General features: G+C 48.6%; 1 protein-coding gene and 1 long non-coding RNA gene across 12 annotated transcripts in view; one reads left to right on the top strand and one right to left on the bottom strand.

Moving 5' to 3' along the window:
• The window catches only part of ACAN (aggrecan), a 71,918-nt gene extending 54,648 nt beyond the window's left edge, over window positions 1-17,270 (bottom strand). For 8 of the 9 annotated variants that reach the window (NM_001369268.1, NM_013227.4, NM_001411097.1 and 5 more), the window contains exon 1: window positions 16,897-17,270. The gene's annotated coding sequence lies outside the window, so the exon portion shown is untranslated. Of the gene's footprint in view, window positions 1-9,290; window positions 9,489-16,896 lie in introns of all 9 variants that reach the window. The other variant, XM_047432216.1, reaches the window with a different exon arrangement.
• On the top strand, window positions 17,188-24,557 carry LOC105370960 (uncharacterized). Of its 3 annotated transcripts, none has more exons than XR_001751648.1 (3): window positions 17,188-17,256; window positions 21,902-22,050; window positions 22,802-24,244. It is a non-coding gene; the product is annotated as an uncharacterized LOC105370960 (long non-coding RNA). The 3 variants fall into 3 exon arrangements; XR_932593.3 differs by lacking the exon at window positions 17,188-17,256 and adding an exon at window positions 21,646-21,767 and having other exon boundaries at window positions 22,793-24,557; XR_932592.2 differs by lacking the exon at window positions 17,188-17,256 and adding an exon at window positions 21,646-21,767.
• Window positions 24,558-25,567: the final 1,010 nt, after the last annotated feature.

Raw genomic sequence — 25,567 nt, 5'->3', positions numbered from 1 at the left:
GGATGCAGAATCTGCATCATCTGATTTGGGAGACCTGGGAGAGCTTCAAAAAAGAGGTAGGATTTGAGTTTAGCCTTGATGGACAGGTACAATATGACATGTAGAGGTGGGGAAAGGGCCTTCTAAGAGTAAGAGACTGAACACACAAGGCAGGGAGAAAGGAGCAGGTCCAAGTGGTGTAGCATTAAATAAAGTTAGAAACAAAGTGGGGCCAGATTCTGAAGAGGCCTCCAAGATTGGGCTATAGAAATTGACTTCATTCTGTAGGTGATGAATAGGCTCTCAGGGTTTCAAGGAATGACTCAGGTATGTATCAGGGAGAAACTACAGTCCTCACGATCTTTGGTGGTGGGCCCTTCCTCCATGAAGTCCCCCATCATGTTCCTATTATGATCCAGTTTGCCGTCCTCGATCACAGCAGGAGCACGTGCTGCCTGTAGCACCTGTCTGCCTCTGCAAGGAGACTGACTGGGAGGAGCATGCACTGGGTTTTATTCATCCTTGGGTCTATAACTCATCTGTGAGCACCTATCACAACTACGTCCTTTAAAAATTGCATATATCCAGGCTTGAGTCCATGCCAGCATGGTGCCCAGCAGCATTTTGAACATAAGCCTCATCTCGTTTAATGCTCACAATAGTCCTGGGAGGGGCACACTGTGATTAGTCCTATTTTAGAACCAAGGGGACAGAGGCTCAGAGGGGGTAAATAACTTATCTCATCTCCCTCAGCCAGTGAGTGGTAGAGCCAGAATTCAAACCCGGATTGGTCTGACTCCAAAAGCTGGGCTCTCAACTAGTTCCCTGCTTCCCATGTGTGTGCCAGGAATGATGCTAGGGGCTGAAGATAGTACCCCTTGGAGGTTTGTTCTAGTCCTCAAAGGGCCTTTGATAACTGTGCCCCCAGATTAATTTTTTTTAATTAAAAAAATGTTTTTTAGAGATAGGGTCTTGCTGTGTCACCCAGGCTGGAGTGCAGTGGTGAGATCATAGCTCACTGCAGCCTTCAATTCCTGGGTTCAAGTGATCTTCCTGTCTCAGCCTCCTGAGTAGCTGGAACTACAGGTGTGAGCCACCACACCAAGCTATTTTTTTTTTTTTTTTTGTAGAGACGAGAGTCTCATTATGTTGCCCAGGCTGCTCTCAGACTTCTGACTTCAAGCAATTCCCCCACCTCAACCTTCCAAAGTGTTGGGATTACAGGCATGAGTCCCTGAATCCAGCCAACTCCAGATTTCATTTAAATCATGGATTCAATTAACAGACATTTGCTCAGTGCCTGCTACAGACGGGTTCTCCACATGGAGCGAGTTCAACATCAGATTTGACTCAAAGAACCAAGGTACCTCAGGGCTGCAGAATAAGGCCTCCAACCCCAGAAGAGGAGAGACTTGCTCCCTAAGCCCCTCAAAGACCTCCCTCTAACAGCCTACCTGTCCCAGAGCAGTCACTGAAGAGCTGCAAAACCTTGACATGATGTTGCCCCCCGACACTTTGTTTCCTTCCTTTCCAGCTGTCTCTGGCATGTCCCCAGTCCTCTGCCAGCCTGTACTGGCTGTGTGACTGTCCCCTGCAAGGCTGTCCGGATTATAGTGCTTAATAGCCTCCCAACAGGATGCCAGAGCAGCTGCCCTCACAAAAGTGCCTTCTGGGGACTCATGCTGTCTGCTGCCTCTCAGTTCCTTCCAGTCAGGGTTTCTCCAAAGACATTATCCTCACTAGGAAGCTACCTTTCCTTACTTTAAAAAATTGATTATGTTTTCTCCTAAATTGTGGTAAAATATACATAACATAAAATTTATCATCTTAATCTTCTAAAAATGTACAGTTCAGTGGCATCGCGTATTCACATTGTTATGCAACCATTATCACCATCCATCTCCAGAATGCTTTTCACCATGCCAAACTGAATCTCTTCATGGGGTTGGCCCCTAAAGCTCCACACAAGTCAGAAACCAGGTACGATCAAAATTCCCCTTGAAAATCTTGGAGGAAGGCACCATATTGGAGACCCCCATGTTATCTTCCAATGAGTCCAACACAACCATCTGCCTTCCATTGCTGAGTCAGACTATTGAGTATTTGAGTGGCCAATAAATTAATTGGCTTGCTATGAGGGCCATATCGTATGAGAAATAAATATCATCAAACACCAGACACATGCTTGGTGCCTCAAGGTGCTCACACCATAAGAGAAACAAGGGAACTGGGGCCAACTCTGGGAATGGCAAATTTGGGTCTCTTGTCTCTGGCTCACTGAGGACACACACCTACCAGGAGGAGAACCTGCGGAATTTCTCACTAAAGTATTCTTTCTCCCAATGGCACACCACTGCATTGCAGCTGAACCTCAAATCCATTCAGACTTGGTGGGAGCAACTGTGCAGATTTTCCCTTATGGAAGAATGCACTCACAGTTGTGTTATCAGATGCAGTGCTGGGGCAAAGAACTAGGGCTCTTTGCATTCTACTGACAAGTACTTTTCATTGCAGACATGGCTCTCTCCTACCTAGACTGTGGGCTCCCTGAGAGCAGAGAAAACTTCTATCCCATCTTTTCTATCCCTTCCTGTCTCTGGTAGAGAGCCTGGCACATAGAATAGTCAAGTAAGGAAAACTGTTTACTTACTTGGAAACATGTTCATGCTATATCATTAAGCACAAAAAGTAAACTGCAAAATAACACATAGAATACAATTCCATTCTATTTTTCTGTATATCTATTCAATGGGAAAAAGACAGGAAAGACAGACAGAAATTTAACTCTGGTTATCTTTGGGTGGTAAGTCTATAGTATATTTTTATTTTTTCTTTTTTTTCCTTTTCCCTTTCTTTCTTTTTTTTTTTTTTTTTTTTCAGAGTCTCACTCTGTTGCGCAGTCTGGAGTGCAGTGGCATGATCTGGGCTCACTGCAACCTCCGCCTCCCAGGCTCAAGCAATCCTCCCACCTCAGCCTCCTGAAGAGCTGGGACTATAGGCATGCACCACTATGCCTGGCTAATTTTTGTATTTTTTGTAGAGACAGGGTTTCACCATGTTTCTCAGGCTGGTCTTGAACTCCTGAGCTCAAGTGATCTGCCTGCTTTGGCTTCCCAGAGTCCTGGGATTACAGGCATAAGCCACCGTGCCTGGCCAATTTTTTTTTTTTCTATCTTGAACCTTTATATTTCCTAAATTTTCTATGATGTCCTTTATTATTTTTAAAGGAAATCTGTCTCTAAAAATAAAGTGAATTTTATATCCTTTAAAAAAAAATCTACATTTGGCCAGGCACAGTGGCTCATGCCTATAATCCCAGCACTTTGGGAGGCCAAGGTGGGTAGCTCATGAGGTCAGGAGAGCAAGACCATTCTGGCTAACACAGTGAAACCCTACCTCTACTAAAAATACAAAAAAATTAGTCGGGCGTGGTGGCACACACCTGTAGTCACAGCTACTCTGGAGGCCGAGGCAGAAGAATTGCTTGAACCCGGGAGGCAGAGGTTGCAGCGAGCCAAGATCGCACCACTGCACTCCAGCCTGGGTGACAAATCAAGGCTCTGTCTCAAAGACAAAAACAAAAACAAAAACAAAACTACATTCAAGACAATCACAGGAGAAAATAGATTCCAGCCTTGGAAGGTCATTAGGAGAGCAGGAGTTTTATGTAAAGCCAAAGGGCTCCCCAGTGACCAAGGTGGCAGCCGACTGGGGATAGAAGGGGAAGGAAAGTCTCAGTGGGGAAGGGAGTAGGCTCCTGGTGTGTTAAAACTCTTGAGAATCAGATGGTGGGAAACAGAATTTTCTTCTGTTACTGTGTTCAACAGATTTGGGGCTCAAAGTTTTTCTCGCTCACAGCCTCTGTCTCCTGAAGGTGGCTCTGACTCTGAGCTGAAGGAATCCATATGAAGTTCTTGGGCATGGTGCGTTGAAATAAACAGGAGCTTACACACATACCTTGATCCATGGGGCCCATTCTGGGTAACAGGCCTCTTTGCTTCTTTTTCTTATGGTAGATATCAGGGTATGTGAGTAAAGACTGAGAAATTTGCCTTTTCTCTAAGCATAGTGCATGGAACAGCCAGGCAACCATGAACTTTGGAATCAGAGTCATGAGTTCAAGTCCTGGTCCTACCACTTACCAGCTATGTCTCAGTGTTGTTATCTATAAAATGGGAATAATTAGACCTATTTCACAGAGCTTTCTGCTGCTTCAGTGTGAAGTATGTGCACACCAGATTTCAGCTCAGATCATACAATGGCATTCAAACACTTTCTACTCAACCTGCCCAGTCTCTAGTTAGCATAAAAGCACTGACCGATGGGAGAATACATCATTTGTTTAATCCATCTCCCCCAAGAGAATGACTTCCCTTAAATCCCTTTGATGAAGCACAGGTCTAAATACATTGACAGCAAGTCAATAAAGGGTGTTATATGTTGAACTGAGTCCCTCCCACCAAAAAAAGATACCTTATGTCTAAGCCTGAACCCCCATTGCCTGTGAATGTGACGTTATTTGGAAACAAGGTCTTTGCAGATGTAATCAAGTTAAGATGAGGTTGTTAGGATGGCCCCTTAGTCCAATATAGCTGGTGTCCTTATTGGAGGGGAAGATGTCCTTGTGGAAATACAGACACACAGGGAGATCACCAAGTGACAGCCGAGGCAGAGATGGGAGTGACGCAGCTGCAAGCCAAGGAACACCAAAGATTGACAGCTGCCACCAGAAGCCAGGAAGGGGCAAGGAAGGATTTCCCATAGGTTTCAGAGGGAGCATGGCCCTGCCAATGGCTTGATTTCAGACTTCTGGCCTCCAAGACTGTGAGACTATAAATGTCTATTGTTTTAAGCTACTCAGTTTGTGGCACTTTGTTATGGCAGGCCTAGGAAATGAATACAAGGTAACTTTTTATTATAACACTACTACTAATCTAAAAACTTCTTTATAAACAACAGTCCCCAATCTTACTTGGTAGTCAACCTCAGGGTCGCTTAGATTTCTCAGGAAAACTATTTCCTATGTCTGATCTCAATGGCTCCTTCTTTTTTTTTTTTTTTTTTTTTTTTAATCAGTGCAGAACATTTCATGTCTTGAAATTGTTCTTGATGGTTTTTTTTTTTTTAAGACCTTTCTCTTCTGCACTTCTACTTTTTTTTTTTTTCTTGAGTTGGAGTCTCGCTCTGTCACCCAGGCTGGAGTGCAGTGGCATGATCTCAGTTCACTGTAACCTCCTCCTCCTGGGTTCAAGCAATTCTTGTACCTTAGTCTCCCAAGTAGCTGGGATTACAGGTGCCTGCTGCCTCACCCAGTTAATTTTTATATTTTTAGTAGAGACGAGGTTTCTCCATGTTGCCCAAGCTGGTCTCAAACTCCTGACCTCAAGTGATCCTCCCACCTCGGCCTCTCAAAGTGCTGGGATTACAGGCATGAGCCACTGCGCCTGGTCTTCCCCTTCTACTTGGAATCCAATCTTTGTGGCTTTCTTGGCCTGGCTTCCTGACCCTCAAGCTACCACAGGACCTCCCCTTCCATTCCCACTGATACACAACGTGGGCTCTCTATTTCTAGTGGAACCAAGAGAGGGGAGAACCATATTCCAGATCCTCCCTTTTATTAAGGAAAAAACAAGAAGTGAATGTTTTTTCCGGATTTCTGTCCTGTCTGGACTCAGAGCATCTTTTTTTTTTTTTTTCTGGGGTCCACACAGGACAAGAAAAACCAAAGTTTCAGCTGGAGGTAGAACTGAGTCTGTTCAGCCACCTTAACTGGCTGAGAACCACCAAAGGTTCTTCTGGTACATTTAGGATTCCCCACTCCCTAGTCCCAGGAGAGGAGGACAGGGGATGGAGGCAGAGTTCGGTAGGGCCAGAGGCAGCCCCCAGCCCTGCACCAGCACCTCCTGCCTCACAAGCTTCCTGATAGCATGGACATGCTGGCTAGCAGCTATGACACCTGAAGAGGAGTTCTTGTTGATCCAGCCTTTGTAGTACAACATCTGCAGCGCAGTCCCAGAGAAGGGTTGAAGGAGTCGGGTACAATCAATTGCAAAGGCTGCACACTGGCACAACTCGAGGAGTCGCTATTCCCATGGACCACAATGGAATGGCGCCCTCTGGAGTGATGCATTGTGGGAGCCCTGTGTACAGCAGAACCTGCCACACTTTCCAGGCCTATCAGGAGCCAGCCCTGGCTTTCGTCATCTGTCCTGTCCCTCAGCTAGCTGCAGGGTGGCAGACAGCATGTGGCTCTTCTTGCATTCCTGAGGCCCCTTTCTGCTCCAGGATGGTAAGACTATCTTAAGAGCATAAGTAGGCAGAAAAGCAGCTGAGAAACTTCAGTTTGGGCAAGAGGAGGCAGTCATGATCATCCAAAAATTCAGGTTCAGAGATACCAGGAACGGGTCTGGGAATGTTCATGATTTACAGCAGTTACTGTTTTGAGAGCCCTTGCTCTGTGGGAGGTACTGTGGTTTAGCTATATTATCTCATTTTACCCTCCCAACAAATCTATCGGGAAGGAGTCATTATACCCAATTCACAGATGAGGAAAACGAGGCACAGCAAGACTAATCAACTCTGTCAAGGTCACACTGCTGATGAGGGATGGCTGCTGACGAAGTCACTTTGGTGAGCCTGGAGCCCTTCTATCCCATCCACTCCTGGAAGACAATGGCTGAATGGATTCTTTTGTGAGTCTAAGCACTAGATGTCATCAGGAGGGGAACTAGGAATAAATATGTAGGTACCAATGTGCCAGAGTCACCATCACAACTGAGGAGAGACCAGAGGGAGCTGGAGGGTCAGGGGAGGTCCCCAGGGCATGGAGCTGGAGAGGACAGAAGCAGATTATTCTGGAGGTGAGGTGACAGATATTCAGTGTGGACCCTAGTGGCTGAGAAGAGGTGCTCACTGAGATCTACAAAGTCACGAAGGCTGAGTAGCCAGGGAGACTACATCTTATTCTCCATCCTAGCCCCACTGCCTGACCTGCTTCCTACTGTGGCACAGAGGTGCTAGGACCCTGCGGCTCAAAAGATGTAAAGGAAATGAGGTGAAAGATGGCCCTGGCACATGCTGGGTAGCCCAGTAGTGATAAGGCCCCAAAGGTGGTAGCACCTAAAACTATACATTTATTCCTAAAAGCAGCTCCTCCCTGACGATGTTTGAGTCATCACGAACTACTGAGAGAAGCTGGGGAGATTTGGGGTTGGCATATGGAAGTGGCCATCCCTCTCCTCAGTTGGGTCACTGGTGGCAGAACATGAGCTGGCCCAGGTGGTGGCCATTCTGACTGTGCAGAGTCCCTGAGCCATGGCCACAGTAAAGACATATTCTTTTCTGAGTCCCAGATTTCCTATATATGACAAGAGCAGAGTGCAACATATCAGTGGCTTTCAAAAGACAGAAAACTGGAGATGTTCTAATAGAATGTGGCTGTACACTTCTTGACCCACCTCTCTAGCCCCCATGGGGTATCATGGACTGACCCCCGCGGACTCTGAAGCATGGTTTGAAAAGCTCTGAAGTTATTTGTCCAGCCAACAAACTTTTCTTGACCACCTACTGTGTGCCAAGCATTTCCTAGGTGCTGGAGACACAGAGTGACCAAGACAGATGGGGCTCATGTCCCATGCAGCTTTTGCTGCATGGAGATTTCCAAGGTCCATCAGCATATTAAGAAGGGACCCAAAATTAACTAGGGTTAATTTTGTTCAACCTTGACTTTCTCTGAGGGATGAGATCCTTTTCACCTACAAAGCCTGTTGCTGGCCTTGGAAGGCATGTTCTATAGAAACCATCTTGGAGAACCAAGGGAGAAAAGGTCCCTGTCTCAGGAAGGGAAGTGGAGACAGGAGAAACTGGCCATGACCTCCTCACTCCCCTTGGTGCAGTGAGAAGGAGTGCTCTTTGTGGAGCTCAGGAGGGCAGAGAATCACCAAGGAAACTGACCAGCCAGAATTTCTAGATAATGATAAGTTAAAGAAAAATGCAGGGGATGGGAGTGGGGGTGTTTGTTTTCTTTAAATCAGATGGGCACAAAAAGAAAAGCTTCCCAAGAGGAGGTGACATTTGAACTTGCATGACCAGAATGAACCAGCCATGCAAAGCCCTGTGGGAAGAGCACCTGGGCAGGGGGACCGAGAGGGCAAAAGTCCTGAAGGAAGTGAGAGGCCAGGGGCTGCAGGGAGGTGGAGGAGGGGAGAATGATGTGAGGAGGAGGGGATACCAGCCAGCTTGGGGGCCTGTAGGCCAAGGCTAGGGATTGGGCTTGATTTTAAGTGAGACAGGACCATCTCTAAGGTCTTCTAAATGCCTCTGCAATCCCCAGGGGGCTGAGAGGAAATATGCAAATAACCTTGATCAATTGCTGTGTGCATCCAAGGGCGAGTCATTCTGTGCAGTACTTGCAGTGACTTAGGAGGGGGTGGGAGTCCTGTTTTCCAACCGCTGAAGCATCAGCCTTATCTGGTGTACATAAGTCTTGCTGACCCTGCTGTGTGCAAACCCGGGAGTCCCTGGGTCACTGAGAAGGCAGATCCAGAGAAGAGGGCAGATGGGGAGGGCCTAGATGGGGCTGCAGGAGGCCGAGGCGCTAACCCGAGGGCTAGGCTCCTCCTTCGCTAATGAAGCCATCCCCACTCCTAACCCTCCTCCCGCTCAGGAGTGGGTGTGGAGGCAATCTAAGCAATCAGGTCTCCCACACCAGGAGACCCTCTGTCAAAATATTGACAAGTCACAACAGAGACCCACTTGGGTTGCGTTTAGGAAACAAGTGGGAATCTCAGAACAAGGCTGCTTTAGGGGGATGGGGGAGAACAAAGCACCTGGCTGGGTCACGTGAGTCTGGGGTGGGGGTGATGCCCATGGATGGGGCAGTGAAGTCAGGCGACAGAGACAAGCATGCAAGCAGGGCACCTCTTTACTCAGCTCCAGGGGGCTGCTGTTCACCCCCATTGGTGCTAGTCCAAGTCTTCCAGGGGACTGGCACCCACTGGAGTCACCCAACAGGCCAGGGAACAACAGAGGGTTAGGCCCTCAGCTCACATAGGGGAGGCAGGTGGCCAGGTATGGATAGGGAACAAGTGGAGAGGCAGGAATCCCCTGGGGTCAGAGCCCCACCCCACCCCACAGTGAACTCCACTGAATGTTCTACCTCATTGTTGTCTTCTAATCCACAGAAAAAGGAAGAAAATGAGTACCCAGCATGGCCAGCCTTTAGAGGGAAGGTTACAGATGTGAGATGTGGGGCTTGGAGAGCGCTTGCTGGGTCAGTGAGTTCATTTGAGATTTAGGATTTTAAGCCCTACCTGGTGGGGTCTCCCCTTGCCCCTTGGCCTGGGTGCAGCTGCTGTATTCCTGCTGCAGGCTCAACCTGGGCCCGTGCCTAGATTAGCATCTTTTTAGGCTCAAGTCCCTCCATCTGCTTTAGGAAAAAAAAGCTTCACGGTCAAATTCAGTTTGAAAAACTTGGTGATTTCCAAGGTCCATCAGCATTTTGAGAAGCCCTGCAGGGAAGAGACCCAAAATTAACTAGGGTTAATTTTGTTCATCCTTGACTTTCTCTGAGGGATGAGATCCTTTTCACCTACAAAGCCTGTTGCTGGCCTTGGAAGGCGTGTTCTATACAAACCACCTTGGAGAACCAAGGGAGGAAGGGCCCCTGTCTCAGGCAGGGAAGTGAAGACAGGAGAAGCTGGCCATGACCTTCTCACTCCCCTAAAGGACAAACTGGGGGCAGTGGCTGTAGTCCTGCCCTTGGGGAAGGAAGAGAGCAAGTGGCCCAAGAGGCAGGGCTAGAGAGAAGATCTTAGAACCAAATACACTCTGAGGAACTGTTTTGGGCTTTAAACTAGGAGTTGACAAACTAGACCACAATGGAATCACCTGGGGCAATTTTGAAAACCACAGATTCCCCGCCTCCAAGCCCCCATCTCACTGAAGCAGAATCTCTTGGAGCACATTAGGGCTTCAGCCACCCGTATTTTTGAAAAGCTCCTTAGATGCAGCTAATTTTAGGGACTGAAGGCTAACTCTAATGACACCTCCAGGCCTCCTTTTCAGTGTCTTGTGACGTTGAAAAACATTTACTACATTCCTGCCTGAGTCATCCTAGAATCCAGGCTTCCCCTGAGCCATCTGGATATGCAGGTCAAAGGGAGATGGGCTGGAGGGGAGACAGGGAGCATCTGCTTGGGGAGGGATGGAGTGAGGGGAGGGTCAGGCCAAGGGTCCAGACTTTGCTGGGAAAAATCCCCTACACAGGACCCGAGGCGGCGGCTGAGGCGAGAAGGCCAGGTTTTCTGAGGGAGATGGGAGGCTGAACTCTGACTTGCCTTACACGTTTCTCTTCTAGAGGTTTTTTTTTCCCCCCAAAATTAGCCCTGGAAACAGCGAGGACATGGAGGGACAGAGCCAGAAGGTGTCCCAAGGGTGGACAATGGGTAACCCAAGGACCAAATCTGTTTAGAGTTGGGTTCTGATTGGATGTCACAGCATTGCTGTGATCTGACGCTTCCCTTTACTGGCTGGAATGGGACCTGCGTGGTGTGAAGGGAGGAGCCTCAGAAGCCTGGGTGCAAGAGCAGCCTGTGAACCCCCATCCAAGTGTCCTCCGCTCTCTGGGACTCAGCCTCCCCCTCTGCATAATGAAGAAGACGCTGTGGTGACCCATGAATCCCTTTCTGCTCCAGTGTTTCATGACTCTGTAAAATAGAAGTTCAGGAAAGCTTGACAGTTTACCCAAATCCACCCCTTTGGCTAGTGGCTTTTAGTTAGGCCTTACTTTATCATGACTTCAACTCCATTTTACAGATAGGAAAGTGGAGGTATTCAATGACATGCCTGCATTGAGATAAATCTCCAGGGTCCTGATCCTCATTTGGTCCTCTTTTCAGTAGCTGGGCTCACCTCAGCTCTGGAGAACCCCCACCCCTCTACCTCCCACTCCCCATGGGGATGCCCCTGTGGGGCTGTCACGGTGCAGCTGCTGTATCTGCAGTGCTCTCTGGAGGATGCAGCTGCCCGGTGCTGCAACCTGATGCAGCACGTTCTGGGAACCAGAGGTCCCTGCATCTTGCAAAGGATGGAGGAGTGACAAAGTGAAGGATTGCCCAACTGGGTATTCTTGGTGCTCTCTTTGTCAAGAACTGAAAGGAATTTATAGTACTATGGTTCATTCAACTAGTCTGTTGTATGTGCCTGGCCCTGGGTTAGGGACAGGGCACACCAGACACCAAAGGTGCCTGCATCGGCTTCAAGGCACCCCCACAGGCCTCCTTCGGAGGTCCTCACTGGATCTTGGCCCATGAGGGCAGGCTTAGCATCTCCGTGTTATAAATAAAGAACCTGAGGCTGAGAGGTGAAGCAGTTTCCCCTAGGTCATATGGCCATCAGTGCCCAGTCCATGTGACTCCAAGTGCAGTGCTCCTCCCACCACACACACTGGAGGGAGATGCTCACACCACCCACTGCCCCTCCCCCAAGCAGAGGGAATACTATGGCAACCCTGCCCCAAAGAGCAGCCTTCTTTGGCTTCCTGATCACACGTGTGGATGCTGTAATTTTCCATAGTGGGGACTTTAAAAGCCTCAAATATACTAATAACAGTTGCCATTTTATTGTATGTCTAATTTGTGCCAGGTCCTTTATTTGCTTTCAAACCTTCACAACTGTACCATGAGTCCATCTCACGGAAACAGAAACGCAGTGAGGCTCAGAGAGGATAACTGACTTACCCAAGGGGATACAGCTAGGATTTCAACCTCAGTCTGGGCCACCAAAGCCCACATTTTTTCTAATTTACCATGGGGGCTCGGACTTTTCTTTTCCTTTTCATTTATTGTCCCCTCTGCACTGCCTACCTAACTTTCCTTCTTGTCCTATCCCCTCTTTTCCAGTTGCCATGCCCAGTTGGGCATGGCCTGGCCCATGAACTAAATGAAGGTCTGCAGCAGGGTGTCTCAGCCTTGGGACTATTGACATTTTGGGCCAGATAATTCTCTATTGTGCATGTATGTGGGCGGGGGCTGTGCTGTACACTGTAAGATGTTTCACAGTACCCCTGGCTCTATCCATGAGACGCTAGCAGCAAGCACCTCAGTCTCCAGTGGTGACAACAAAAAATGTCTCCAGACATGGCCAAATGTTCCCCGGGGAAGGAGGGCAAAATAGCCCCAGGTGACAGCCACTGCTGTATAGAAATGAGGGGTCAGGTTCAGGTTGGTTACAGTCCGTCTTCCCCATTAGACTGTAAGTAGGTGGAGGGCAGGAAGAGTGAGTTGATTTATTCACTGCTATGTTATCCATGCCTAGCACAGTGCCTGGCATGTAGCAAGTGCTGCTGAAAGAATGAATGAATGATCTCTGGGAACACGACATATTCTGTGATGAGAACCTGAAGGTCTAGATCCCAGTCCAGATTCTTACCAACCTGCTCTGGGGCAGCAGCCTGGGGCATATCCTTCCCCTCTTTGGGCCTAGGTCCCTTTTGCGATCTCTTAAATGAGGACCATCACAGGCCTGGAAGGCCCTGGGCATCTGTGATCTGGGGACTGCCAGAGACCAGGGAGCTGAGGGAGGCTGTCTCCCAGGTCAGGCATTGCAGATCTGCCATGTCCTGTGTTTCTCCTTCTTACCCTCACCCCTCCAGTCAAATCAATTACAGAAAGACAGGCACCCCCGCCCCCACATACACCAAAATAGTGACCTACACAGAAGAGGTGGCTCCTTTTTTGAGTGTGTATCTTAAGAGGAAAAACATGTAACCTCAAAGGTAACCAAATATCCAAATCGTGATGCCCAGCATCACACACCCCAAATCCACCTATTCATGAGTTTAACAAAAAGCTTCTTTAGGATACACTGTAAGGCCATTGAGAGGGAGAGAAGTCACCTCTCACAGGCCTGGCCAGCCCGCAGGGCCCGCCCTGCCAGCATGCACACACACACACACACACACACACACACACACACACACTCCACCACTTATAAGGAGGCTCTGAGTTTTTAAAAGTAAACTCCACCGTTTCCGTTCTTGCCCTGGATTCAACTTTTGAAAAAAGAAACCGTTTTACCGTTTTCTCTACAAATTCCCCCTCTCTGGTCCTCCTCTCGCCTGCACTCCCGCTCCTTCTCCAGCCCTCCCCTTGTTCTGCCGGCCTCCCAGTGGCCCTTCTTCAACTGCGTCCAGGGGCCCAGACTCCCTCGCAGGGATGGCTGTGTCCTGTTGGATCTGGGGGAAGGGGAGCTGCCACTCCCAAAGTAGCTGTCACAGAAACGGGCCCTTCATCCCATTGAAGGGGCTTCCTTTAAGTTATCAGGGCGGCAGTGCGGCTACCATCAGGACACGAAGCATGGCCACGAGGCCAGGCCGTTGACAGCAGGAGAGGAAGGCTCCTGTTCCCAAGATGTGCTCCTGATCCCCTTTCCCAGGGCAGCTGCTGGCCTGTCCCCTCCCCTGCTCTACTTATAAGCAGACCTTCCTCCATGCCCTGCTTCCTCTCTGACTCTGGGTCCTCTTCCTTGAACTTGCCTTTCCCCAACTCCAGCTTCCACCTCAGCTGCCTTGACTCCCCAGCACTTGGTGCAGTGGCAGCAAGGATGCCCCAGCACCTGCCACCTAGGGCCACAATGCTGAAATTTCTGAGACAGAAACATCATTGGGACCAATATAGTAAAAAAAAAATTAAATAAAAATATATGCAAATATCAAATTTGTATATATTTGCATATATACATTTATATTATAAACATACATACCCTTATAGAGGGCTTCAAAATAAATAACAGAAACAAAAGTTTCCAGAAACAGTACTTACCTTTGCTACATAGGAGGCACTATGAGATTATCTGGTATTTCCTATTTTATTAAGAACCCCGCTAAATTGATCTCACAACCTGCAGTTGGACAAATCTGGTGCTAGACATCCCTGCAGCAGCAGAGACAGACTCAAAGTGGGACTCTAGGCAGGGTCTCATGGGCTTCCTTTGGCTCAGCTGAGGTCCTCCTAAGGGCCCAATAAGAAGGGTCTTGGGAGGAACCCAGTTCTAGAAGGAATCATTAAAAAGAAATTCACTGGCTGGGCATGGTGGCTCACGCCTGAATCCTAGCATTTTGGGAGGCTGAGGCAGGCGATCACCTGAGGTCAGAAGTTCGAGACCAGCCTGGCCAACATGGTGAAATCTCGTCTGTACTACAAATACAAAAATTAGCCGGGCGTGGTGGTACACAAGTAACCCCAGCTACTTGGGAGGCTGAGGCACAAGAATCACTTGAACCTGGGAGGCGGAGGTTGCAGTGAGCCAACATTGGGCCACTGCACTCTAGCCTGGATAACAGAGCAAGACTCCCATCTTAAAAAAAAAAAAAAAATTCACACCAAAAGTTAGGACACACAGTCTCTTATCAAGAGAAAACATTTGAAATTTTTGCTATCCATAACTTGGGGTTTGTGACCCACAAGGGGGCTTAGGAGCTGTTAGAGGAGAGGAATTAAAGTTTGTGGTGCTTGCTGAGAGCTGGACAAGGCACCCACTTTATGTCTTTTAATCTTCACAAAAATCTCTTATCGGAGGATTTTCTCCCCTTTTTAGAGAAGAGGAAATGAAGCCTCTGGGAGGCTCAGTACCCTTATCAAAGCCATGTAGCCAGCGAGTGGCTGAGCTGGAATTTGAATCCCAGTCTTCCTTGCATGCAGGCTGTCCACCCTCCTGGCTCTTGCCGACTGTCTCAGGAGGTGAGCTCTCTCTTGGAGCTCCCTCTCTAATTGGGGAGGGGGCATAAGAGGAGGAGAACGCTCTGCCTTGGCATGCAGGGGTGAGTGGCTGCCTGGGATTGGGCGTGTGGGTGTGAGAGAGATGGGGAACAGGGGCAAGAGGTGTGCCTGGGTGTGTGGAGGGCTTCCGAACATTAAACAAAATATTCCCTTTTAAGTATGATTGTCAGTGAATATTCTAGAAAAAGAAAAACATTCATTTACTACTAGAATTAAGAATGATAATAGTAATATTAATAATATGAAACAGTTACTGAGTACTTGCCCAGTGCCAGGCACTACGCTAAGCCCTTTGCTTGGGTCATCTCATATCTGCTGTTTATTGAGTACCCGCTGTGGGCCAGCATTGAGCACAGAGCCTGGCACCTAGGTGGCGCTCAGCAGATATTGGAGAATGAATGAAAATACCAGGCACAGCACTAGAAACTACACGTAAGAATATCTAAATTAAACACAGCTCAAGGTAACCTGTGGAATTCCAGCATCTCTCCAAGAGATATCTTCTTCCTTTGGACAATTCCTTCTTCTGAAACTTTTTATACTGGGGAGATCTACTATTCTGCAATCTTTCTTTCAGGTTAGAACCTCTCCTCCCCACTGCCGCTCAATGCTTCCTCCCCCAACGAGCTTCAGGGTTTTCTTCCCCATTGCCTTTCCATTTCCTGCAGTTTCTCCCTGGAGCCTGTGATTGACAAGCCAACACTCCTAAACCGTATCTTCATAGTGCCTCCAAACCCACCTTGCCCAGGGTGCATGAGCAACCTGATTGCTCCTTGTCCATGGCAACCCAGGACAAGAAAGAGAGATAAGGATTAGAACCCAAGAATTCTGGACTCTTAAATCAGGACGAGGGACCGACTATGGCCTCAGAAAACCTGGATTCTAGTTCTGCCCTTGACCCTAAGTCACAGTTCAACCTTCAGAAATTCATTGCACCTTTCTGGGTCCACTTGCCCTCCTCTTCAGACGAGGTGGGTGAATTTTCAAGGTCCAGAGTCCCCTCTAAACTGTCAGACACCCACCCACTGCAGCACCCAGGACCCCAAAACACCGTGCTAACCCAATTCAGCTTTGTATTTTCCTCCTGGCAGCCAGCCCCACAGAACCAGAATTTACACATCAGTCAACATGCTGGAACTCCAGCTTCTTCATGGTGAAACCCTAGTAGGATCCTGTCAGAACCCAGCTCATGACTGAAAGGAGGATAATGATGGAAAAGTTTGGGTTGGATCCTGTCTCACAACCAGAGACAAGCCCCCACCCCCGCAGCTTGCTCTGCCCAGAGTGTGGTTCAGTTGACATACTGACAGCCTCCAACCCAGCCCCAGGGTTGGAAAGGGCTCCTGCTCCACCAGCATTGGCTTCGTTTGAAGAGGAACCCACAGACGGAAAAACCGCTCGTGGTCGTGTGTCCTCAACTCCCCTCCCCTTTCTTCCTTGAGAAATGCCCCTTCTTGGTTGGACACCCGTGTGTTCAGGGCACTGCTCTCCTCTCCCCTGCTGGCAGTTCAGTAGCTCTGTCCCAGGTTCTGCCACTCTCCCCTGGGCAGACTCTTCAGGCACTCTGGTCCCTGGAGTAAGCCAAGTGGCCAAGGATGGACTATCTAGCCTCGGCTTAGGACCCGCTGTGTCCCTGACATAGTGTCCATATGATTTCATTTATTCTTCCAGACCCCGCGAAGGCCTTTTCCCTCTCAGCTGACAGACGGCAGGCCAAGGCTCAGGAAGGTGAAGCACACCTTCCAGCTCAAAAGTAGCACCTCGGGGATTTGAACCCACATTCCCTTGACTCTGAAGCTGCTACTCTGTCAACCATGGGTCTTTCCAGACCCTAGGATTTAAAATCACCTAGGTGTTTGGAGAAAAGGCTCCCTTGTTCCTTCATCCTGGCGGACTAGGAGACAAGTGCCCCTCCTCACGTGTTCCTTTGCCCCATTCACTGAGTCTGCAACAGCCAAAAAGTTTGCTCAACTCCACCGCGGACGCAGCCGGTGGATGTGCTGCGCCCCCGGCACACATAGCTCTAGGGCGGAGACCAAGGCAGTGCAGCCCCCAGCCCCGGGGCGTGCAGTCTCAGTCCCGTTCCTGGCTCGCCGGGCGCCCTGGGAGAGCCTCGCTCTGGAGGGAAGGAGACAGTTACCTTGAAGAGTTGGACTCCCTTCTCCAAGAACTTCAGTCCCACACACCTGGCGAGGCAGCTGGGGGCTCCTGGGGCCGGGAGGCCCGGGTCTCGCTGCGTAGCGAGGGAGACGCTCTGCGCGGGCGCTGCGCACCCCTCCTCCTGCCGGCGTCCTGTCCGCAGGTCCCCTCGGGCTGTGGCCGCAGCGGCAACTGCTGGGTTGCGGAGTCCTGGCTGGCTGAGGGAATGGACACTGAAAGGTGCCCGGAGACCCTGGCACCCGCGTCAGACGCCGGCCGGCGAGGGTGCTGAGAGAGAGAGACCTTGAGCAGCGCTGCGCGCGTCCTCAGCTCTGCGAGCCCCCTCTGGAGCGGCGGGGAGGTAGGTGGGCGGGCGGGCGGGCATGGCGCGCTGTGACACATACATAGGGACGGGCGGGGGAGGGGAGGGCCCGTGAGGGGTGGGGGCGGGAGGGGGCGAGCGCAAAGGGAAACCCCACCCCCAGGGACCGAGGGGCGGCCGACAGGGGGAGGGGAAGGCAGAGGCGTCTGGAGCGCGCTGGACCCTGGCTCCGGACCGGCGCGCCGATGGGGAAGCCGGCCTGCGCTCAGGGCGGGAGAGGAGCGCTCCCCGGGGCGGCGCGGACCCGGCAGCTCCGGGGCTGGCGGGAGGAAGGCGGCGCGAGAAGGGCTGGAGGGCCCGCATCTGCATTGCGGTCGGCAGCTCCGCAGTCGGAGGGGCCCAGGAGGGCTGCACCCTCAGAGAATCCCCAAGTGCCCGGACTCTGAGGCCGCCGCGGCGGGACAGGGCTCCCGGGCGCCCGGCGGGGTTCTGCAGCTGAGGCTGGCCACGACGCGATCTAAGGAGGGTGCAGCCCGCTACTGTCGGCCACGATTTGGAACGACCCTCACCGAGGAGCTGGCTGAAAGTTTTTTTGGGGGTGGCGTACACCGGGATGGCAGGGGATGGTGGAGAGGGGGAGGTAAGGCGTCAGCGGGGAGGCTCACGGGGAGCTGCGAGTCTCTGGGTCTTCAAATTCCCCGGGAGAGACCAAGGACATCTCATATGAAGCAGGAATTCTCCAGTGTCTCTACAGTACTCTTTAATACCGTTTTCAGGAAAAGGAGAAAAAGAACTAGCAGCTTTTGAATCCCTCCTATGAGCCCGTTGTGTAACATACATTAACATTTCATTTAATTTTTCCAAAGAGCCCAACAAGGTAAATATGGCAACTTCCCACCTGCCCCTAACCAAAGATGTGAAAACTGAGGCTCAGAAAGTGGTGGAGATCCCTCTTGAAGGTGGGACTGAGTTCGAGTCCCAGGTCTTGTGCTCTCTGCTACACAGGCTGCTGGTTGAGCCACAGCACCTTCGGAGGACTCAAGCTGGCTGGTGACCTTCAGAGTTCTTGTGGAGGAAGCTGGTGGTGCTTCACACCAGGATGTGGTGGCCACAGTCAGGATGGTGGTGGAAGCTTCCTGACCCTCTCATTGGGCAAGAAGAGGAAGAAGTGGAATCTTTCGGGACTCCCCACTACAGAGATAATAGACCACACTTTAATCAGTTCCTTGATGAAAAGGAACTGAAGTGCCTCGGTTTCCCCAGGGCGACTCCACTGGAATTATGTGGTTATTTTACTGGCCATCTCTGCCTGGGGGCGGGACTGGCCCTGGCCCAGCACATGCTCTGTGAGCCGCCTGTCTCTCCCCTGTCCAGGGCAGTGAAGCCCCGTCGGAGGGAGCATAGTGCCCACTCTATCCACCCACCTCTCAGAGCAATGGCTAAAGTGTTCCAGTGGTTGGCCATTCTTGATTTCACCCTTTTTCTACCTGAGCGTATTGAGTCAGGTCTGTAAGTCTTGAAGCATTTAGGACACAGACAAAATGCTGGTGACCGAAGCCCCTTAGGGGGTGATAGTGGCTTCTCTCACAGATAAAGAAATGAGATGAGGCCGGGCGCAGTGGCTCACGCCTGTAATCCCAGCACTTTGGGAGGCCGAGGCGGGCGGATCACGAGGTCAGGAGATGGAGACCATCCTGGCTAACACGGTGAAACCCCATCTCTACTAAAAATACAAAAAAATTAGCCGGGCGTGGCGGCGGGCGCCTGTAGTCCCAGCTACTCAGGAGGCTGAGGCAGGAGAATGGCGTGAACCCGGGAGGCGGAGCTTGCAGTGAGCTGAGACGGCGCCACTGCACTCCAGGCTGGGCGACAGAGCAAGACTCCGTCTCAAAAAAAAAAAAAGAGATGAAATCTTAATAGTTACTGGCCTCAATGCCTGGAACAGGGAGAAATGACCCTCTGGGAAAAAAACAGTCCCTGAAATTCCAACGAGGTCATGGATTCTCATGCCTGTGTTTACCTGATGCCTTGTGGGAGAACAAATTGCTCTCATTTGTAAAATGGGTTCATGTCAACATTCATCCTAGGGCAGGTGGGGTTAATGAAGAACAAGTCAAGGGCAAATATTAATTAGGCGATTTATCTTTGTATTGAAGGGAACAAATGTTTATTGATCATCTGGTTTTGTAATGAGTCTAAGAAACATATATTGGGCACCTATTATGTGTCAGATGCTGCTTGGTACAGCAGCCTCTCAGATGGATGCCATTCCCATTTACACACTAAGAAACCAAGACTCAGAGGCCATCAAGGTAGTGAATGGGATTGGAGTACAGGCTGGTATGAATTCACACTCCCTAGCCCTAAAGGATACAAAAAACCCAGGATAATGGCAACGCATTTGGACACTTTAAAGACAGTATTCAGAGAGTCAAAGGACATGCGTGTCAGAAGGCCCTTGGTGGCATACACAGGCTCTTCCTGTCCAACTCAGGAGCTCTGTTCCAGTGTAATATTTCTGAAGCTGGTCATCTCCTCTTCTGCTAGAATACTTTACAGTTGCCTAATGCCTTTTCCAGGCTGCCCGATGCAGTCTGCTGTAAACTGGCAATTTCTAACCTCTTGCTGCTCAGAGTATGTTCTATAGACTGGCAGTGTCACCTGGAAGCTTATTCAAAATGCAGAATGCCAGGTTCCCCAGACCTACTGACTCACAATCTGCATTTTAACAAGATCCCTCCCGTGTTGTATATGCCTGCTGAAGTTTGAGAAGCACTGTGCTGACATCATTCAGCAGGTTCTACTCATTCAATCACAAATCACAGAATAAGAGAATCTCAGAGCTGGGAAGAGCTCTTGGAGAACTTTAAGGACACCCCTCCATAGAGTATGTCAGTCCTGTCCATGATGTTTCCCTCAAGTAGGACATCAGACTCTGCTTGGATGTGGCCATGAGTTTGACTCCCTTCTGAGGCCACATCCATTTTTTTCACGTGGTTCTTGTATTTAGGCAGCTTTCAGCTTTCACAGAAGCTCATGCCCAATACTGTGGATTCAGCAGTGAACAAGACAGGCCCATTTCCATCCCCCCAACCCTAACCTGTCCCAGGACCTCCTGCCACGTGATAAACCTTTCTGTTTGGAATCAGTGATCTCAAGTCTCTCCCTTCTCCCTTTTGGATTGGGTCCAGAGGAGAGCTCACCTCAATAACCTGGGTCCTGTGCTTCTGGTAATGCAGCCAACATTTATGTGCTTTTATGACAGCCTCATCATGACTCATTTGGAGCCTGCAGCCAGCTCAGACTTCCTTTTCACAGTGCTTCTGCCACCTAGCATCTCCTTTGGCTTATCCTGGTACAATGGGTTTTTCCAATCCAAGTGTGGGGCTTCATTTTTGCTTCTTTTAAACATTACACTAACTAATTCAGTTTACTACTTCAGATCATCTTGGATTCTGACTCTATTATTCTGTGTGTTTGCCATTCCTCTTAGCAGCAGACATTCTACAAAGCTAACTAGTGTGCCACTTCTATGTTTTCATTCAGGCTGCTCATAAAAATATTGCCTGGGACGGAGATTAGGGCTGAGTTCTAGAGCAGAGCACTAGAGACAGCCCCCCTGGAATGAACGACATAATCCGATATTCCAGTTATAATGGCTGTGTAACAAATCACCTCAAAACTGAGTGTCTTAAAACAATAGTTATTTAATATCTCTCATGGTTTCTATGGATCGGGAATTTGGGAGAAACTTCGCCAGGCAGTTCTGGCCTGGACTAGCTCTTGAAGTTGTAGTCAGATGTCAGTTACAGCTGCAGTTAGCTGAAAGCTTGACTGGGGCTTGAGGATCCATGTCCAAGGTGGGTCGCTCACGTGATTGGTGAATTGGTGCTGGCTGCTGGCCAGTGACCTCATTTCATCTCCATAGGGCCTCCCGATGGAGCTGCTTGAGTGTCCTCATGACATGGCAGCTGGCTTCCACCACAGTGAGTGACACAGGGAGTGCAGTGCTTCTGTGTCATAGCTTTGGAAGTCCCACACAGGGCCAGCCCTGAACTAGTGTGGGAGGGTCATACAGGATGTGAATACCAGGGGATGGGGATCACTGGGGGCATCTTGGAGGCTGGCTTCTACACTCCATTAAACTAACTCATAGAGCATGGCCAGTCCCCCCATCCATCTGACTGTATTACCATGGAGTGCTTATTTCTGTCCCATACATGGGGACACCATGAAGGTACCTTGCTAAGTCCCAATATAAGGTGCTTGCAGAATTCCTCTGAAGCATTCATTCCAAACTCTTTTACAAGTGAGTGGCCCAATTCTGCTCTCTAGAGCAACACAGTCTGCCCCCATTTCAACAGGGGCAGCCTCCAGTTAGTGCAGGAGGGTTCTCACATCACCCTTCATGTCTCTCCTCACAGGGTCTTTGACTGTTTCCCAAGGGAGTGTTCTTCTGGAGTTTGCTTCTGGATTCCTCACTCTCTGCGAACCTTGTTTGTGGATGCCCCTCAAAAATGCAATGCCCGGCATTAGATGCACAAGCCCAGGTGTGGACTGATTAGAGGGGAGCCAGGACAACTCTTTTCTCTAACCATTTGGATATTCTGCTCCTACCGGTATGGCCAAACATCGTTGAGTTTCAGAACTACATCTCACTGTTGCTTGATATTTAATCTTGCAGGCAATTAAAATGAAGACTGTTTCCATGCGGGCCCCCGTGAAAGGGATTCCTGTGTATCTCAAGCAACAAAGAGAGCTGTGGAGCAAGGAGATTCCCTGTGTAATCGGGAGCACTGGATGTGAATCCCAGGTCTGGCATGGGAACCTTGGGTGAGTTTCTTAACCTCTCTGGATTTTGGTTTCACATCTGTAAAATGGAGCTATCTTATGGAATTGTTGTGAGAATTAAAATAAGATATGGAATGTCAGCCCCTAGTAACTGATCTGGCTCAAAGTGCAAGGATGGTTAATTTTCTTCCTTCCCCCTAGCCCCCACAATTTGGTGTGCCTGAGTAAGTACATTCTCTCCTGTGTGCTGTTTTCTGTGTTTGTAAAAGAAGCTAAAAATACCCACCTCATAGGAGTGTGGCAACAATGAATACTATATGTAATATGTGTAGAGAACGTTGTGATCCTTTTTGGAAGCAAAGGGCCATAGAAACATGATATAGAAAAGCCTTCTTATAGCAGAACTGGGCCAGGGAGTGGAGTCTAGTGAGAACTAGTGGAACACTTGAAAAGTGCTGTTTTATTACTTTAACACTGTACTAGTGGCAAAGTAGGAGGGAAATGTTATAATAAAGAACATGGAGACAGTTAATGAAACACTCACAAGCCTCCACGGGTCTGTGTGGAATAATGACATACAGTAACGGGAAAGTGCTGTGTCACCAAAGACATAGAAATTGAAGGGCACGTTTAAGGAAACTCTCTTAAAGCTTCAGTTTCAATTTTTTTTTTCTGAATTCATAGCAGATTCTTATTTTTAGTAAAACCCTACCATTTATAAAAGAGGAAATTATGGCAAGCATTTTATTCATTACTCACTAGTGTTTTTTTTTTTATCATTGAGAATACTCAGTGAGTGATGCTGAGTGGAATGTTACGTATCACCATCATCATCAGCATCCATCCCACCACCATCATCACAACCACCACCACCACCATCATCATCATCATCATCATCAACAGCTTTTTCCAAGCAAGTCTGGAATAAGAAGAGAAGTCGGAGGATTTAGGCTTTGTACTTCCTGGCAGCCCCAGCCCCTGAGGCTCATGCGATCCTGCTCACCTTCTCTCCCTGACCCCGAACCCTAAGGGGCTCCCGCACTCCAGATCGTAGCTGGCTCTTCTCTATTCTTTTCCTTATTCCAGCCATTAGAGTCTTTTGGGACTGGCTTCTCAACCTTTGTCACATTGGGCTTGATATTTTTAGTTTCTTTCAGTGGTAAATATTAGATTATTCAGAAAAATTGTTGTCCCAGATTTCCACACATGATGGTATAGATACAGAATATACACTTATAAAATAAGCAGAAATGATATCTCATGAACATTTGCTAGAATTGAAATAGAAGAGGTGCAGGCAGCATCCCCATAGCTTAAAAATGATCTGCTAAGATGTGGGCATGACTTTTCCCCACAAAACTTGCCACTCATTTGATATTATAGTGCGGGGGAATAGTCTTCCTGACATTTTAGTGGTTGTTATTGCTGTATTTTTTTTTTAGGGCATATTTTTTTAAGGGGAGAAAATGAAGAATATGTAAGGAAAAAAATCAGTACTTAGCTGGGTTACCTTTTATTCTTAGGACATTTACTTGTTAGCATTACAGTCTTAAAATAGTCTTCTACCAAATACATTACCAACAGGCATTTCCAAAATGCTGAGAGTACTCTATCTAGTCTCAAATTCTCAAGTTCAAAAAAATGGAATGCCAGTTCCTCCATGGGCTGACACAGCCTCATTATTATGGCCATATTTATTTACTTATTTATTGTAGTAAAATATACATAATATAAAATTCATCATTTAAACCATTTTAAGCATACAGTTCAGTGCCTTTAAGTACATTCACATTGTTATATAATCATCACTACTATCCATCTTCAAAACTTTTTTTATCTTCTGCAATGAAAACTATGTACCCATTTAATAATAATTCCTAATTACCCCTACCCTCTGCCCGTAGCCACCACCATTCTACTTTGTGTCTCTATGAATTTAACTACTGTCAGTACCTTATGTAAGTGGATTAGCGCCAAATTTGTCTTTTTGCGATTGGCTTAGTCACTTAGCATCATGTCTTCCAGGTTCAGTCATATTGCGGCATATGTCAGGATTTTCTTCCCTTTAGGGTAACACTTATTGAGCTCTTACTGCCTACCAGGCCTTGTGCTATGCGCTTCAACAGACCTCACAATCACCCTATGAGGTAGGGAGTCTCACTAACTCCATTTCACAGATGAAGAAACTGAAGACAGGAATGTTTAGAAAGCTGCCTGATATGGTTTAGCTCTGTGTCCCCACCCAAAACTCATGTTGAATTGTAATTCCCAGTGTTGGGGGAGGGACCTGGTGGAAGGTGATTGGATCGTGGGGGTGGATTTCCCCCTGGCTGTTCTCGTGATAGTGAGTGAGTTCTCACAAGATCTGATGGTTTAAAAGCGTGTAGCACCTCCCCCTGCACGCTCTCTCCTGATCTGCAATGGTCAGCTGTGCTTGCTTCCCCTTCGCCTTCCACTATGACTGTAAGTTTCCTGAGGCCTTCCCAGTCATGCTACCTGTAGAGCCTGCAGAACCGTGAGTGAATTAAACCTCTTTTCTTCATAAGTTACCCAGTCTCAGGTAGTTCTTTACAGCAGTGTGAAAACAGACTAATACAGTGCTCTACTAGTTAGCAATGGTTGCTAACTAGTAGAAGCAGGGATCTAACCCAGGCCACCTGGTTCCAGAGCCTTCATACTTTACAACTTTTAGGCCAGGTGCGGTGGCTCAAGCCTGTAATCCCAGCACTTTGGGAGGCCGAGGCGGGTGGATCACCTGAGGTCAGGAGTTCAAGACCAGCCTGACCAACATGGAGAACCCTCGTCTCTACTAAAAATACGAAATTAGGCAGGCATGGTGCCGCATGCCTGTAATCCCAGCTACTCAGGAGGCTGAGGTGGGAGAATCGCTTGAGCCTGGTGGGGCAGAGGTTGCGGTGAGCCAAGATCGTGCCATTGCACTCCAGCCTGGGCAACAAGAGCAACACTCCATCTCAAAATAACAACCATTTACTGAGTACTTACTACATACCAGGGACTAAGCTAGGCACTGTGCCAACACATTTCCCTCCCTCTCTTCCTTTCTTTTATAATATGTGATATATATAAAGTGCATCTTAAGTGTACAACTCAGTGAACAACATTGTAGTCACACCCAGGTCAATATGAAGAAACTTTCTAGCTCCTTTGAAGATCCCCCCACCCCAGGGCGACCACTATTCTGACCTGACTGATAGATCAATTTTGTCTATTTTTGAACTTGATTGGATGTTATTTTCCCAGGTGTACTCCTTTGGGTCTGCCTTTCACTCAAACTGGAGGTTTTAAGTCCCATTCATAGGGCAGCACTAACTACCCAGCTCCCACTGAATGCTGGCACCAGGAACTCAGGCTCACTGTTGCTACATCATGTTGTTTCTGTAGTAGCAGTAGTTATTATTTTTTCTTTGGGAAACCAAACATCTGGATTTTTGTGTAAAATCAGATGATGATTAATTTAAAAATTTAAAATATGGCATGTGCCAACACATTGAAGGGTACGTGCAATGACTGCATCTGCAGGTGGTGAAATAATTCTATG

Source organism: Homo sapiens, chromosome 15 (assembly GCF_000001405.40).
Source record: "Homo sapiens chromosome 15, GRCh38.p14 Primary Assembly".
Classification (NCBI taxonomy): Eukaryota; Metazoa; Chordata; class Mammalia; order Primates; family Hominidae; genus Homo; species Homo sapiens.
Note: the sequence above shows the minus strand (reverse complement) of the source record. Positions and strands in the feature narration are given on the sequence as shown.